We start from the raw sequence: 17,414 nt of genomic DNA, 5'->3' as shown, positions 1-17,414 counted from the left end.
CGCTCGCTGCCCCGCCCCTGGACATTCCGCTGGCGAATCGCCGGGCTCGTCTCTCTGTGACTGGCCTGGCTGAGCGCCAGGCGAACCCGGAAACTGAGGGGCCGGCATCTCCGGGAAAGCTTCTTCCTCCCCTCCCTGGTTCATTGACTCGCTGTTAAGGTAAGACGTTTGTTCCACACCTACTAGGTGCTGATTAATGTTCTAGGATCTTGGGGATATAGCGCTCCTCATAGAATTTACAATCCCGTGGAGAAAGACACATAATTTTCTTATTCCACAAATTTTGATTTTTTTTTTTTTTTTGAGACCGGGTCTCACTCTGTCGCCCAGGCTGGAGTGCAGTAGCGCGAACAGGTTCACTACAAAGCCTCGACCTCCTGGGATCAAGTAATTACTAAGCCCAGCCCAACTTTGTTTTTTCTTTTCTTTTTCTTTTTTTTTTTTTTTTTTTTTCTCCGTAGAGATGGGGCCTCGCTATGTTGCTCAGGCTGGTCTGGAACTCCAGAGTTCAAGCGATCTGCTTGCCCCAGGCTCACAAAGTGAGCCACTGCGACTGGCCGAATTTTATTTTTTACCAGCTTTATTGAGGTATAATGTATATATAGTAACATTTACTCACTGTAAGTGTACAGTTTGATGATTTTTAGTAAATGTAAACAGTTGCACAACCATCACCACAATCCAGTTTTTGAGCATATGAAAATGTTCCTTGTGTCCGTTTATAGTCAATCCCGCTCCTGTCCTCAATCCCAGGCAACTACTAATCTGTCTATTTAGCTCAACAAATATTTCTGAGGGTCAACTAGACACCAGGCACTGTTTTAAGTGCTGGGGCTTAGTGTCCAGTAGGAAAGACAGGCTTCAATCAAGTGTCACACACATGTCATTAAAACTGTTGCGCCAAGAAGCAAAAGAGCAAGGAGCTATGGCAAGGCAAAATCAGGCAACCTGATTCAAACCTAACCTGGAGGTCAGGGAATGCTTCTCTGAAGAAATAACATCCATACTCACCTTTCCCCTTGTCCTCTCCCTGTCCATCACAAACTCCTGAGTTCCTGCTGATGGCCAGGCCTCTAGCTGGGTGCCAGGGGAGGTCAGGTGTTTAAACCAGGTCTCTGCTACCCTACCCTGGGAAGAGTTCTATCCAGAGAGGAGCTGCCTACCCACCCAGAGAGGTGATGAGTGCAGTAGAGAAGTGATCCCAAGAGCTTTTATGACCTAAATAATAAACTGCAGCTAAGTCTGTGGCCTTGTCAGGAAGGAGGGCTTTTATCAACCCCTTTCCATTGGGCCCCTTCCCCTCATCAGGCCCTGGCAGTCCCATCCTGAAGTGTTCTCCCACAGTTCCTCCATCCCCAATGTCACCCCTGCCCTCCTTCGGGCCAGACCACCTCAGGCCCAGGCTCTTACAACAGCCTCTTCACCTGCCAACCTGCCCTCCCCTTCAGGCACAGCTCTGACCAGGGCTCGCCCCGGCTCTGAAACCTCCTGGCTCTCCCTTGCACTCTCCTCTCACACCACTGTCTTTTTTCAGCCTGATTTCCCACCACTCCTTCCAGCCCCAAAGACCTGGAGCGCCTGCCAACTAGGACTGCTGGCCAGCCCCCAAATGCTTCCCATATTTTACCTCTCCGTGCCTATGGTCGTGCCATTCCCTCAGCCTCAATGCCCTCTTGCCCCACTTCTACTGGCTGAAATTCTAGCTCCTTGTCAAGACTCAGCTTACATGTTGGGAAGTAGTAAAAGTTGTAAAAGCCCCCAAGACCCACGAATGTGTCCCCCTCTCCTTACTCAGAGCCCTCTAGCACTTGGCTCCCACCTCTCCTGGGAAACATCACATTCTCTTCTGCTGTGTGCCATTGAGAAGATAAGCTTTGGGCCAGGCGTGGTGACTCACGCCTGTAATCCCAACACTTTGGGTGGCCGACGCAGGTGGATCACTTGAAGTCAGGAGTTGGAGACCAGCCTGGCCAACATGGCAAAACCCTGTCTCTACTAAAAATACAAAAATTAGTTGGGCGTGTTGGCACATGCCTATAATCCCAGTGACTCAGGAGACTGAGGCATCAGAATCGCTTGAACCCACGAGGCAGAGGTTGCAGTGAGCCGAGATCATGCCACTGCACTCCAGTCTGGGTGACAGAGCGAGACTCTGTCTCAAAAGAGATAGAGAGAAGATATGCCTTAAGTCCAGAGATAATCTTGATGATCTCTTATGACGTTGTTTCTGGAACAGAGACTGGTACACAAGGAATACTTGCTGCTCAGTGATTGTGAAATAAACATTGACTGACTTTGTCCAGTCTTCATTTAATCTTCACAACAACCCTATGAGAAAACTGAAGTACAGCTAGTAAGTGATGATGCTGGCATTCACACTAGGAAGCTTCCTAAGTACTAAGGCAGTTCTCCTAACTGCTGAACTTTCGCTGAGGGCCAGTCCAATCCTACAAAGGCTTCCCAAGCCATTCTCTAGCAAGTGCACTGTGAGAACAAAAAATGAACAAGACCCACTCCTACCCTCCAGATCTAGTGAGGGAGAAACTCAGAAGTCTCAGATGGAAGTTGGGGGGTGATCAAGGAAGATTGCACAATGGAGATGGCATTTGAATCAGTCCTTGAAGAGGTAAAATGTCAGCAGCTGGAGGGACATGCAGGAAACAGAAATGACCTCACCTTGAGCTGAGATCTGTTCCCTGAGTCAGCCCTTGGCTCCAGAAGCCCCAGTCACCATTCCTCGAACATGTTCTAGAGTTCCTCCAAGATGCAGGTCACTCTCCTCTGGAAAAGCCCTTTTTCCTTGTCCCTTGCACTGTGTAGTGCCCAGAGATACCATCAGCAAAGTATGTTTGGACAAGACGGTGGGAAAACTTTGCCACTCAGGAGAAGAATCTAGAAAGTGCACCCTTATCTGTAATAACAAGCACTATCCAATCCAGGTGTGCTTCACTCTAAGGAAAAAAAAAAAGATTTTAAAATCAAGAGGCCAGGTGCGGTGGCTCACTCCTGTAATCGCAGCACTTTGGGAGGCAGAGGTGGGTGGATCGCCTGAGGTCAGGAGTTTGAGACCAGCCTGGCCAATATGGTGAAACCCCATCTCTCCTAAAAGTAACAAAAATTAGCCAGGGGTGGTGGTGTGCATCTGTAGTCCCAGCTACTCAGGACGCTGAGGCAGGAGAATCACTTGAACCTGGGAGGCGGAGATTGCAGTGATCCAAGATCGCACCACTGCACTCCAACCTGGGTGACAGAGCGAGACTCTGTGTCAAATAAATAAATAATAAAATCAAGATAGCAATTTTTAAGTGAATAAATCAGCAAAACAGAATATACATTATTCACATACCAAATGTTTATTTTTTGTTACAAAAGAAATTCATTTCAACAGTTTTCCTACTTTATTTAAAATATTATTTTCATTAAAGATATGATTGGCAAAGGGTTCATCCCTATCTCTAAGTTAGGAAAAGATCCAACAAATTGGTAAAGAAGGTATTAGGACTTTAGTAAATAAATGGGAAAAGGGGACTGGGCGCGGTGGCTCACGCCTGTAATCCCAGCACTTTGGGAGGCAGAGGTGGGTGGATCACGAGGTCCGGAGTTCAAGACCAGCCTGGCCAAGATGGTGAAAGCCTGTCTCTACTAAAAATACAAAAAATTAGCTGGGCGTGGTGGCGGGTACCTGTAATCCCAGCTACAAAGGAGGCTGAGGCAGAGAACTGCTTGAACCTGGGAGGCCGAGGTTGCAGTGAGCCGAGATCGTGCCACTGCACTCCAGCCTGGGCGACAGAGTAAGACTCTGTCTCAAACAAAACAAAACAAAAAACATAGGCCGGGCATGGTGGCTCATTCCTGTAATCCCAGCACTTTTGGAGGCCGAGGCGGGCAGATCACAAGGTCAGGAGGTCAAGACCAGCCTGGTTAACATAGTAAAACCCCCTCTCTACTAAAAATACAAAACTTAGGGAGGCATGGTGGTGCACACCTGTAGTCCCAGCTACTGGGGAGGCTGAGGCAGGAGAATCACTTGAACCTGGGAGGTGGAAGTTGCAGTGAGGCGAGATCACACCACTGCACTCCAGCCTGGGTGACTGAGTAAGACTCCGTCTCGGGAAAAAAAAAAACAAAACAAAACGGGAAAAGGACCTGAATAATCAATTCACAGCCAAATAAACTTTTAAATAAATGTTCAATCTTAACAATAGTCAAATGCATGCAAATTTCTAAAAAAAATTATTTTTATTTAAAAATATTAATAAAATGCAATGCCTTATACCATCCAATTTATGGCGCACTGCTTGGCTGGCCTTATACATTTCCACAATCTCTTTGGAAAACAGTTTAGCAATGTGTCTTAAGAGAGACATTAACTGTTCTTACTCTTTCACCTAGTAAATCCATTCCTGAGAATTAAACTCTTGGGGAAAAAAATCCAGAAAGAAAAAGCCATCAACACAAAGATATTCATTATACAATTATCCTTAATTTTGAAAACTAAAAAGAGAAAAAAGCAGTCTAAATGATTAACAGAAGAAATGGTTATGTAATTTAGGGGAAATGAATGAAGTGGACCATCATGCAGCCTTCAAAAGTGATCAATGGCCTGGCATGGTGGTTCACATCTGCAATCCCAGCACTTTGGGAGGCCGAGGTGATCACTTGAGGCCAGGAGTTGAAGACCAGCCTGGGCAACATAGCAAGACATAGTCTCTACAAAATATAAAAATTTAGCCAGGCATGGTGGCATGTACCTGTAGTCCCAGCCACTTGGGAGGCTGAGGTGGAAGGCTCACTTGAGCCCAGGAGTTAGAGGCTACAGTGAGCCATGATTGCACCACTGCACTCCAGCCTGGATGACAGAGGAAGACCTTATCTCTAAAAATAAAATTAAAAAATAATTTTTTTTTTTGAGATGGAGTCTGGCTCTGTCGCCCAGGCTGGAGTGCAGTGGCGCTGTCTTGGCTCACTGCAAGCTCCGCCTCCTGGGTTCACGCCATTCTCCTGCGTTCATGCCATTCTCCTGCCTCAGCCTCCCAAGTAGCTGGAACTACAGGCGCCCGCCACCATGCTCAGCTAATTTTTTGTATTTTTAGTAGAGACAGGGTTTCACCATGTTAGCCAGGGTGGTCTTGATCTCCTGACCTCGTGATCCGCCTGCCTCGGCCTCCCAAGTGCTGGGATTACAGGCATGAGCGACCGCGCCTGGCCAAAAAAAACATTTTTAAAGTGAGTATTATGAAGACTTTAGCATCTTGATAAATGTTTATGGTTGAATGTTCAGAAAAAAATAAAAATTTAAACTATTATCTATGTTCTCTTATAACTTCTTTTTATATGTGAACAAAGAGTAGAAGGAAACCTGCTCCCTCCCACAGAATTCCCCCACCCAATAAAATTCAACTCCAGCCTTCTAGTTGCTGAGGCCAAAAGCCTGAAGATGAGCTGTTTTCAAAATAGGTTCAGTTTTGGACACTTTTCCCCTTGGCAGCTGCTGCCACCAGGGTCCAAGTCAGAGTTACCTCTTGCCTGAACCAACACAGTGGCCCCCAAACTGGCTTCCCTACTTCTACCCCTTAAAATCCATCTCCTGCCAGAGGGATTGTGTTCAAACATAAGACAGATACATCCTTCTCTGCCCAAAGCTGCCAGCGACATCCTGTCTCTCTCCAAGTAAAAGGCAATGCCCTGGCAGTGCCCCATAAAGCCCTAAAGGGTCTAGTCCTGCTAGCCCCTCTCTGAGCTTCTCCCCCACCACTGTCTCCCTTGAAGCCGACCTACCTCCTTGCTGTTCTTTAATCGGCCATGCTTCCTCCCACTGCAGGGCCTTTGCACTTACTGCTCCCAATGCCTGGAATGCTTTTCCATATGGCTTGTTCCATCAGCCACTCCCCATCTCCCCTCTCCCAGACCCTGGCAACCACCAATCTCTTTTACATCCCAATGTATTCACCTACTCTGGGCATTTCATATAAACGGAGTCATAAAATATCTGGTCTCTTGTGTCTGGCTTCTTTCATTTAGCATGATGTTTTCAAGACTTATCCATATCATAGCATGCATCAGTCCTTCATTCCTCATGACGGTCAAGTTATATTCCATCACATGAATAGACCACATTTTATTCATACGTTCGTCAGTTGATGGCCATTTGAGTTGTTTTCGCTATTATGAATGATGCTGCTATGAACATAGGTTTTCTTTCTGATTTTCTTTATTGTTCTTGAAAGGTTACTTGTCAATAAAAATTGTGTTCCTAAAAAGTCCCTATACCTCAACTTTCTAGCAGCACATGTATTGCCTAAAATGCGCAACACCTCTACTGCCTGCCCCGTCATATGTCATTAAAGCCCAGAATTGCACCCTTCCCTAGAGGAGTGAAAAGATGTCTGAGATGAGTCTTCAATCAGGAGATTTTTCCCTTTGTCACGCCTCCCTGTTAATAAACAGGAGGCATGGCAGAGCCTAGCGGGAAGGAGCTGGGCCCTGGGGAAACTTGCTCCCAAATGTTCCACTGCAGTGACTTCAGGCCAAAAAAAGTTGCTCTGAATACATGTGTTTCCACAGATGGGTTTTACTGCGTGGTCCCTCCAGCTATCATTGCCGAGCCACCTACTATGTCAGGATGGGGCAGGAAGTCAGAGGGGCTAGAGATGAAGGATTTCTATCCCCTACCTTGGAGGAGCTCCTAGCCTCTGAGGGCCTGGGCAGGTACACAGATCACCACAGGAGGAGGGAGACACCTCATGGGCAGCTCTCACTGGTCTATTCATCCTGCATGGAGAGACTCAGCAATGATTACTGACTAAAGAGATGAACTGTTACTACGACTTTGCACTTTCCACTCTTCTGTGGCCTTGAGAGAAATCAAGGCCCACACAGCCCTGGGCCTCAGGCCTCTCCACCTAGAAATTCCAGGGCTCTCCAAACTTTCACAATGAAAACTGAACTCATTACTCTCCCCAAAACCTGCCCTCTCTCCTGTGTTCCCATCTCAGCAGAGGGCCTCATCACATACCTAGGTGGTTACCAAACCAGAGTATCAGCCTCAATTCCTTCATCACTCATTCAGAAAAGATTCTTTGTGCATCTGTGATATTCCAGGCCCTATGCTAGGCACAAAGAAGAATGGAGTAACCCAGGGGAGGCGAAGTCCCTGCCTCCTGAACCTTAGAGTGGTTCTCAATGCTGCCAGATGCTCCCTTTTTATAACAAATATTTTGAATATCCTCTTTACCATACTGAAACGAAATTCATGGATAATCTAAACCACTTATACACATAATGAAAAAACAAAATCAATATAATGCTGCTACTGTAATATGAAAGAGAAATAAAAGGAATACTGTAATAAAATAATGGGTTTCAATACATAAATGCTCAGGCCTAAACTCTAAAAGACATTATGAAGCAGTCACATGCTTGCACCTACTTATAACAAGTAAGTTTGGATTTGAGAGAGGTATGATAATATTCAGGCCACAGTTTTTATCTTTGACATTTAAAAATAAGAGCTAAAAAAGTAGATGTTAATAGACCATGAATCACAGTGATGGTGACGTTCACAAATGCAGATGAATACAGGTGTGTTGTATGGGGTCAAGCAAAATTCTTTTTCTTTCTTTTTTTTGAGACAGGGTCAAGCAATCCTCCTACTTCAGCCTCCCAAGTAGCTGGGAATGCAGTCATGAGCCACCACTCCCAGCTAACTTTTTAATTTTTTGTAGAGATAGGGTCTTGCTATGTTGCTCAGGCTAGTCTGGAACTCCTGGGCTCAAGCAATCCTCCCGCCTCAGCCTCCTAAAGTGTTGGGATTACAGGCATGAGCTGCTGCACCAGGCCACATCAAGCAAAATTCTTAGTTGCCACAGGCATCTGGGTTAATTTCTTCTTTCTCAATCACAAGTCACGTTGCCATCTCCGATGTTACCTCCAAAATGGTGATCGAGTCTTGTTAAAGTTTTGAACAAAGTAAATTTTAGTCTTCCCTTGATTTGCATTCCTGGATAACTGAACATATGTTAAGATCACACAAAAAGGAGTTTATTTATAAAACAGAGTTGGGTTCCAAGCTCAGGTCATTATAAACAGGTTTGTTTCCTACAGGAGTATCTGGTTGATCTCCTCAAGGTCCTGCAGGACATGAGACATTCTCCAGTGGGCAGGATTGTCCCGGCATTACAGAACATCAGCATCCCCAAAACCCAGGCACTAAGTGGAAATAGTACCCTCTTGTCATTGCATCCACAAAACACCCATACAGCTCAAAACATTCCTTAGGGAGCAGTATCCCTCCCATACGAACACTGATCTAGAGGGTAAATATTCAAACAGTTGATCCCAATCCACTGAAACAAATGCTGTAATATGGATTCCAGGGTCTGTGGGTCCTCTAAGCCTGGGGTACCTCAAGAACTAGGGGAGATGAGAGTGTCATGGGGGTTAAAGCAGAGATTGTTACAAGCAGACAAGACTTAAGGGAGGCCAATTTTCCAAACAGAAAGAAGGGAAGGAAAAGGAGTGCCAGGCAGAAAGGATACCAGGAACAAAGGGCCAGGTGGGAAGAAGTGGGGAAAGGCAGGATCCAGACCACATGCACCTATCATGGCAAGCAGTTTGGACTCTGTCCTGGGGAGGTAATGGCACACCATCCAAGTCACCATGTGCTTTACTCATAAGTGCATTATTTTGCTTAATGAATGTTCACCAAAAGATTTGTCCTCCAGAGGCCCATTTGGGGATAGCATCTCTGGAGCCAGCCTAGAAATAAGGAAATAAATGCAATCAGGGGTGTTGATCAAATCAAATTGACCTGACTTATCTCCCATCTGTTTATACTGCAGGGACTGGCTTTGCTCTATCTGCCTAAGTCCATGGGTCAAGTTCAGAGGTTGCTATAAAAAGTGATAAAACTTCCCTCAAAGCAGATACTGACTCCCAGTCCCTCTCTCTTCCTGGAGTAGCTGAGCCTTGGGCTGCAAGGTTAATGGAGTAAATACTTGAAAGCCTATTCTCATAGTCTCTGGGGTGAACAAAGGAACTAGCTGCCCCTTTCAAAGGGACAACATTTATTCTCAGTATAGGTGCCAGGGCAATAGTGGAAGATCCTCCAGGCAAACCTGGGTCCCAGTTCTCACATTGACACTCTCCAGATGTGTGAATTTGACCTTCCATTCTCTCACCTGTAAAATGGAGTTATTAACACTCCCACGGAGAATTCAGAAGACTCTCTGATTAATGTGACACCTTATAACATCTTTAAAGATGTTTGAGTAAGCTGAAGCTAATAGAATGACAAAAGACTTTGATATACTTTGGATATTTGTCCCCGCCCAAATCTCATGTTGAAGTGTAATCCCCAATGCTAGAGGTGGGGCCTGGTGGAAGGTGTTTGGGGCCAGGTCCCCCATGGCTTGGTGCTGTCTTTGTGATAGTGAGTTATAGTGCGATCTGGTCATTTAAAAGTGTATGGCACCTCCCCCTTGCTCCTGCTTTCCACCTGTGTTACGCAAGCTGCTGTTTCACCTTCTGCCGAGAATAAAAGCTTCCTGAGGCCTCATCAGAAGCCATGTTTCCTGCACAGCCTGCAGAACCATGAACCAATTAAACCTCTTTATAAATTACCCAGTCTCAGGTATTTCTTTATAGCAACACAAGAATGGTTGCGGTCACACAGACCTGCTGAAGCTCCCATTCTCCTGGGCTGATCAGATCAGAAGATGCAGGGAAACTGATTAAATGAGAACCCTCCCTACACAAACTTCCCAACAATCCTCCAAACACAGAAATGAACATCTAATCATTCAGGGCCTGCCTCTGAGGAACCCATAGTAGCCTGGGAGAGCCACAAAGATAGCTCTGGAAGACAGTTCATATTATGACAAGATGCTTCAGAGACATCAATGTGACCTGAGTTGATAGAGCTTGGGAAGGGTTAAGGGATTCCCAGGTAGTTTCTTTTGTTCCTTTTGTGTAAACCATGATGCCAGGCCTCTACAGACACAGGGACCCCAGCTCACTGGGATTCTCCCAGAGGTCTTGCAGAACCACCTTAAGTGTGATGAAGAGCTCCTCTTGATGATGAAAGCAGCCTGTTCTTAAAAAGTATGAGGATCTGGCCAGTTGCGGTGGCTCACGCCTGTAATCCCAGCACTTTGGGAGGCCGAGGTGGGCGGATCACCTGAGGTAAGGAGTTCAAGACCAGCTTGGCCAACATGGTGAAACCCTAGCTCTACAAAAAAAAAAAATACAAAAAAAATACAAAAAAAAAAAAAAATTAGCTGGGCATGGTGGTGGGCGCCTGTAGTCCTAGCTACTCAGGAGGCTGAGGCATAAGAATTGCTTGAACCTGAGAGGCCAAGGTTGCAGTGAGCCGAGATTACATCACTACACTCCAGCCTGGGTGGCAGAGTGAGACTCCATCTCAAAAAAAAAGTATGAGGATCTAAGACATTTGGGGTGCTATTTTCACCCTACGGACACCCCCACCTTCCTCTCTGATACTGAAAGCTTGGCAAGTGTAATCACCCGATGGGTTCTTCCTACCCACTGCAAAGACAAAACCATTATATGTTGGCTTAGTTAACAGACTTTTATGAAAAATAATCATATATTTGAAGACAAAAATATTTATTGAGAAGAGTGGCATTGTTTTACATGCTTGCAAATGTCTTTAGAGCTTGGCTTAATAGAAAACTGCTCGGGCTGGGCACAGTGGCTCACACCTGTAATCCCAGCACTTTGGGAGGCTGAGGCAGGCGGATCACGAGGTCAGGAGATCGAGACCATCCTGGCTAACATGGTGAAACCCTGTGTCTACTAAAAATACAAAAAAATTAGCCGGGCGGGAGTCTGAGGCAGGAGAATGGCATGAACCCGGGAGGCAGAGCTTGCAGGGAGCAGAGATCACACCACTGCACTCCAGCCTGGGTGACAGAGCGAGACTCTGTCTCAAAAAAACAAAAACAAAATAGAAAACTGCTGGATTCTCACATTTGCTTCTTCATTCAACCTGTTGCAATATCACATACCCATATAACTTCTGGAAATCTTCACTCTACACTTGTGAGAAAATGAGAATGAAAAAGGCAAATAATGTCTCAGTATTATTATGAGATATTGTTGCCCTTGCAGACTCTCTGAAAAGATCCCAGAGACCCCAGGAGACCCACGATCACACTTTGAGAGAGGCCATTCTAGAAGCAGTTGGGACTTTACCCAGAAGCCCACACTCCAGAGACCCTTCCACAAGGGCTTCAGCTGTCTTGATGCCATTCCAGCAGCAGAGGGTCTGTTCATTAGCAAAATGGATGGCTGAAATAATTGTCCATTGATCAAATGAGTGGTATTTTAGATATGTGAAGGGTTGTCCAAGTACCTCTGCCCTTACACAGACAGACAGGACACAAAAACCTAGGGAGTTTTGATGGGGTCTAGGTCTTAGGAGTCCGTCTGGTCAGGTTCAAGCTTCTGAGTAAGAATGCAGTTGCCTGATCCCAAATTGAAGGTTGTTCAAATCTTGCTCCTTAAATATTGTTTGCAACTTCCTTGAATGAAATCCCTCCCCCCTATTTTCTGAGACAGAGTCTCACTCTGTTGCTCAGGCTGGAGTGCAGTGGTGCAATCTCAGCTCACTGCGGCCTCAACCCCTCAGGCTCAAGTGATCTTCCCACCTCAGCCTCCTGAGTAGTTGGGACTACAGGCGTGTGCCACCACGTCCAGCTATTTTTTGTATTTTTTTTAGAGATGGGGTTCTCACTATGTTGCCCAGGCTGGTCTCAAACTCCTGAGCTCAAGTGATCCTCCTGCCTCAGCCTCCCAAGGTACTGGGATTATAGGCATGAGCACTGCACCCAGCCTGAACTAAATCTTTCAAGAGGAAAGTTTATTGAAATATGCAAAAGGTCAGGGAGCTAGGCCTTCATTGAGCTCATAGAGAAGGTTATATGACTGTTGGGGACCTGCTTGCTGATAAGTGATGGTACAAGGTGTGGACTTCAGTCTGAGACTTGCTTGCCTCAGACCCCCTCATAGCAAGGTTTGTGGAAGGAAACACAACACCCCTACCTACCACTCATTACTGGAGATTACTGAGATCTGCAGTAAAATGAACCTAGTTGTGGATGAATTGGTTTAGGTCATTTCATGATAGATACGGCCATAACAGGAGAGAGGTGAGGGGGGCGTGGACCACAGTGATAGCAATGGAGTGCTAAGAAGTGGCTGGCTTCTAGATATGACTGGCTGTGCTAATGGACTGAGGGGTCTGAGGGAAGGAGAGAAATCAAGGGTGCCTCCAAAGATGTCAAAGGCATCCAAGAGGTGGGTGGGACACGATCCAGAAGAAGCAGATTTGTGGAGGAAATTGACCCCCTCCTCCCTCAACAACAGGACAGTCGCCATCCAGCTGGGGTCCCATTTGAGCCATCCAGTAACTTCTCACATCCAGAGTAGCTTCTGGGGAAGGCTCTAGGGCAGGTCAGTCTCCCGGAAGAGAGAAAGGGGTTTCATTCTGTTGGCTCTGCGCTAAACGACTGGTCACTAAATCCTCCAGTAAGAAAATCTTTTTCAAGTCAGAATATTTGGGGATCTAGTTGATTAAATGTATGAACAGGTCCAGGAAAATGTACTCTTTTAAAGGGTGTTGATTTTACATTTGCTAAGACCATGTGCTAGACCCTGGGAGATTCCTCTGTGTCTGGGGATACAGACGAACATGTGGTCCCAGCCCTGGTCCCAGCCCTCCTGTTTCTTAGTGTTTGAGAGGGAAAAATAACCCTCCTCAGGACAAAAAAAAAAACAGTCCCAGGGTGTGTATTTATTTATCCACCAAATACTCATTAAGAACCTACTATGTGCAAAATGCTAGAGAAACAGAGACAAGCTGTTCAGTGCTAGGATATAGGCCAGGTTAAACAAGGGGTTGCAGGGTATGTGTGTGTGAGAGAGAGAGGGAGAGAGAGAGAAAGAGAGAGAGACTGAGGCAGACCTAGTAACTGCTCACACACTATAAATCACAGCCATGTCAGGGAAGACGCCAAGATGACAATGCTTTATAGGTAAAGATAAGAGTAAGATTTGAATTGCCCCTAAGATAGAGAAGATTCCCATGAGCCAAGATAGCAGGTGGGGTCCTGAGCTGATAAAAAGTAGAGGTGGGATAGTAAAGGATTTGAGTGGAGGACTGGGGAATGACTCACAGGGCCCACAGAGCTGCTAGAAGACAGGCTGCAGGCTTCGTTTACTTTAAGAGATGGTCCCACCCAGACCTTGGGCCCAGGGATCTTCCATCTCTGTCATTAAGATCTACCTAGATTCAGGCTGAGACGGGCGGATCACAGGGTCAGGAGATCAAGACCATCCTGGCTAACACAGTGAAACCCCGTCTCTACTAAAAATACAAAAAAATAGCTGGGCATGGTGGCAGGCGCCTGCAGTCCCAGCTACTTAAGAGGCTGAGGCAGGAGAATGGCAGGAACCCAGGAGGCGGAGCTTGCAGTGAGCCAAGATCGCGCCACTGCACTCCAGCCTGGGCGACAGAGCGAGACTCCGTCTCAAAAAAACAAAACAAAACAAAAACAAACAAACAAAAAGATCTATCTAGATTCTAAGTCTTAGAAGAACAACTTGCAGATTGAGTTGTTCTGCAGTAAATGCTACAAGGCTTCTCTGGGATGAGAGGTCATCTTGATCACAAAGTGCATCATCATCACAAACGAGCACTTGGGCAGCAGGTCAAGATGACCTCTCATCCCAAAGAAGCACTTGGTAGCATTTATTCCTGTTTTCCTTCCAAATTTTAAAATAAACTTCATTGTGTGAATCAGAAATGAAAAAAAATAAGCTAACATTTAATGAGTATCTGGCACCCCTGCTGCCTTTTCCTTTTACATTATTTACAAGACTGCAATTGACAAGGAGTCAGCCCCCTTTAAACACTGGTAACCACGTTTCCCTGTCCTAGACTGTGTGATCAAGAGAAGAGTCCGGCAGGGCACGGTGGCTCATGCCTGTAATCCCAACTTTGGGAGGCTGAGGAGGTCAGGAGTTCGAGACCAGCCTGGCCAACATGGTGAAACACCGTCTCTATTAAAAATACAAAAATTAGCTGGGTGTGGTGGCTCCCACCTGTAGTCCCAGCTACTCAGGAGGCTGAGGCAGAAGAATCACTTAAACCCGGGAGGCAGAGGTTGCAGTGAGCTGAGATCATGCCCCTGGGCGACAGAGTAAGACTGTCTCAAAAAAAAAAAAAAAAAAAAAGAAAAAAGAAAAGAAAAGAGTCAGGGCCCAGATTTAAATCTACCTGTTACCAGCTATGTGACCTTGGGCAAGTCACCTTCTCTGAAACTATTTCTTCACCTGTGAAATGGGATAATAATATGAAACTCCACAGACTGAGGAGGCTATTGTGGAATAATCAAATTCAGTAAATATAGCACATCCAGTACAATTCTGGGCACTAGATAAGTAATCAGTAATGTTTTATTCTTCTCCCTCGGCCCATCCTCCCTCCCAGCAAACACACACACTCTGCTCCTCAGGGACCACACTCAACATCAGGGAGCAGCTAAAGCACAGGATTTGGAATCAGAGAACGACGTTAGAGCTTTGCTTTGCCACTTCCCAGCTGGGGGGCATCAGGCAAGTCATTTGGCCTCTCTGAGCCCCAGGTTTCTTATCTGTAACATGGGAATTGTGTTCCTTGCCCCTCCTCACAGCATTGCTCAAGAGAGAGAGCTTCAGATAGGCCATGGTAATAATGATCCAAAAAGATTTTTTTTTTTTTTTGAGATGGAGTTTCGCTCTTGTCGCCCCGGCTGGAGTGCAATGGCACGATCTTGGCTCACAGCAACCTCTGCCTCTCGGGTTCAAGTGATCCTCCTGCCTCAGCCTCCTGAGTAGCTGGGACTACAGGCACGCCACCACGCCAGGCCAATTTTTTGTATTTTTAGCAGAGACAGGGTTTCGCCATGTTGACCAGGCTGGTCTCAAACTCCTGACCTCAGGTGATCCGTCTGTGTCGGCCTCCCAAAGTGTTGGGATTACAGGTGTGAGCCACCGCACCTGGCCTAAAAGGATTTTTGAGAGGAATTTTCTAGTTCAGTTGGTTACCTCTATTTCTCTCCTATGAGAGGAAGGGCTCCCGGGACTGAAAACACAGTCCTCTTTGTATAGGTTCCAGATTTTCTACCTGGAACACCTGGTATGCAAATAAGCAGCATGTTAGCAATTGTACAAGAATGCGCCAGAGCAGGATCTGAACACACAGAATTCTGGCTTGTTCATGCACAGTGTGGAATCTAATAAGATGGGAAGAAGGAAAACTTGTGTAATAGTGGTTATGTGGTTTCAAAAGGGTTTCCTTTTCCCCAACTCCAACACAGGAAAAAGGGGAGGTACAGAAGAGAGAATCTTTTAAATGTGCCTTCTCTGCTCTAAAATTCCACATGCTCCAAATCTCTGGGGACACATCCTGCCTTCTTTCCCATGGGTTAGGCCCCTATTGCATGTGTCCACAATGATGAAAAGATGGTGAGGTGACCCCTGAAGGCTGGTCACCAATCCCCAGGCTAATGAATTGCTTCTTACCCCTCTGATAGCAATTGATGGTGCCTCTGAAGACTCTTGTGATTTTAACAGGGTGACATGTCTGTTTAGCTGATGGCTGCTGTTCTCACCAGGGAGTGGCAAAATAAGGTTGGAAAACCCCAACCAGTAGCCTCAGATATAAAAGAAAACTAAAAGCATGAGGGATCATCTGCCAAACTTGAAGCCCTGTTCCCATCAGAACCCACAAGCTTCAGCAGCCTAAGCACTCTCAAAGTATGGTTCCAAGACCAGCTGCATCAGTGTCACCCAGGAACCCTTTCGATACCCACATTCTTAGCCACCCCAGACCTTCTAAATCAGAAAATCTAGGGGTGCAGCCTCCCAAGTAATTTTGATACATGCTCCCAGGTGGTTTCAGAACCACTATCCTAAAGTAACAAACCACGCATTTTAAAGCATAAAGTCTTGATCTCGCCCAGGCATGGTGGCTCACGCCTGTAATCCTAGTACTTTGGGAGGCCAAGGCAGAAGGATCACTTGAACCTGGGAGTTGGAGACCAGCCTGGACAACATAGTGAGACTCCATCTCTATTTTTTTTTATATATATAAATAAAAAAAAATCCTGATCTCTTCAAAGTCCACTGGCAGTTGTGGAATGGTATGTTGAGCCAGTGCCTGGGTCCAGTCCAGGTTCTACTAATTCCCAGCTGTGGGACCCTGGGCAAGTTACTGAACCTCTCTCAGCCCAACTCTTTGCCTATAATATGGAGATAATACCTACTGATTCAGTTGTCCTGAGTTTAGAAATAACAGTTGTATGGGCTGGACCCCAAAAAGATAGCGGTGACTCCATTTGGTGGATGGGGAAGGAGTTCAGAACATGCCACCACAACATATGCTGCTCTGGCATATTGAGTATTTGAGTTAAAGGCACTTGAAAAATAGCAGATGCAAGAAGGGCACTCTTGATCATCCTTCTTTTTCTAAAAAACAGGAGATGAGGCCGGGCATGATGGCTCACATCCTATAATCCCAGCACTTTGGGTGAGAAGCCAAAGTGGGTGGATTGCTCGAGCCTGGGAATTCAAAACCAGCCTGGGCAACACGGCAAAACCCCATCTCTACAAAAAAAATACAATAATTGGCCGGGCGTGGTGACTCAGGCCTCTAATCCTAGCACTTCGGGAGGCTGAGGCAGGTGGATCACCTGAGGTCAAGATTTCGAGACCAGCCCAGCCAACATGGTGAAACCTCTCTCTACTAAAAATACAAAAAAAAATTAGCTGGGTGTGGTGGCATGCCCCTGTAGTCCCACCTACTAGGGGAGGCTGAGGCAGAAGAATCGCTTGAACCCAGGAGGCGGAGGTTGTAGCGAGCCAAGATCGCGCTACTGCACTCCAGCCTGGGCGACAGAGGGAGACTCCATCTCAAAAAAAAAAAAAAGTATTTAGATTTTGCCAGTTCTCAGGGTCTTCATTTCCTTATGAGGGCTTCCACGTCATGTAAAACTTGTATTAAATCTGTTTTTCTCCCCTTAATCTGTCTTATGCCAAATTAATTCTCAAGCCCAGCCAAAGACCCTAGGAGGGCAGAGGTAAAGTCCTGCTTCCCTTACAATGGCATCTGCTTAAAAGCTCCAAAAAATGTCTTGGCCTTTGTCACACTTCTGTGGACACAGTCAAGTCCTTTAAATCCTCTCAAGTCTCACGTTTGTAACCAAGCCAAGTAAATCCTGTCCTGCTCCCTAAGGAACACAGAAGGTCTGAGATGCCCTGCCTAGGCCGCGCCCAAAGGCCAGATGGGCTTCCCGAGGCCTGGCCGGGAGGGCCTCAGATGTCAGCTTGACTGACCCCCTCCTTCTCCCCAG

General features: G+C 46.2%; 1 long non-coding RNA gene across 1 annotated transcript; it reads left to right on the top strand.

The window, feature by feature from the left end:
- On the top strand, nt 48-5,988 carry LOC124903534 (uncharacterized). The gene is made up of 2 exons (XR_007064725.1): nt 48-159; nt 1,535-5,988. It is a non-coding gene; the product is annotated as an uncharacterized LOC124903534 (long non-coding RNA).

Source organism: Homo sapiens, chromosome 15, assembly GCF_000001405.40.
Source record: "Homo sapiens chromosome 15, GRCh38.p14 Primary Assembly".
In the NCBI taxonomy this organism is placed as follows: Eukaryota; Metazoa; Chordata; class Mammalia; order Primates; family Hominidae; genus Homo; species Homo sapiens.
The sequence above is the reverse complement of the archived record's forward strand: the minus strand, read 5'-3'. Positions and strand labels throughout refer to the sequence as shown.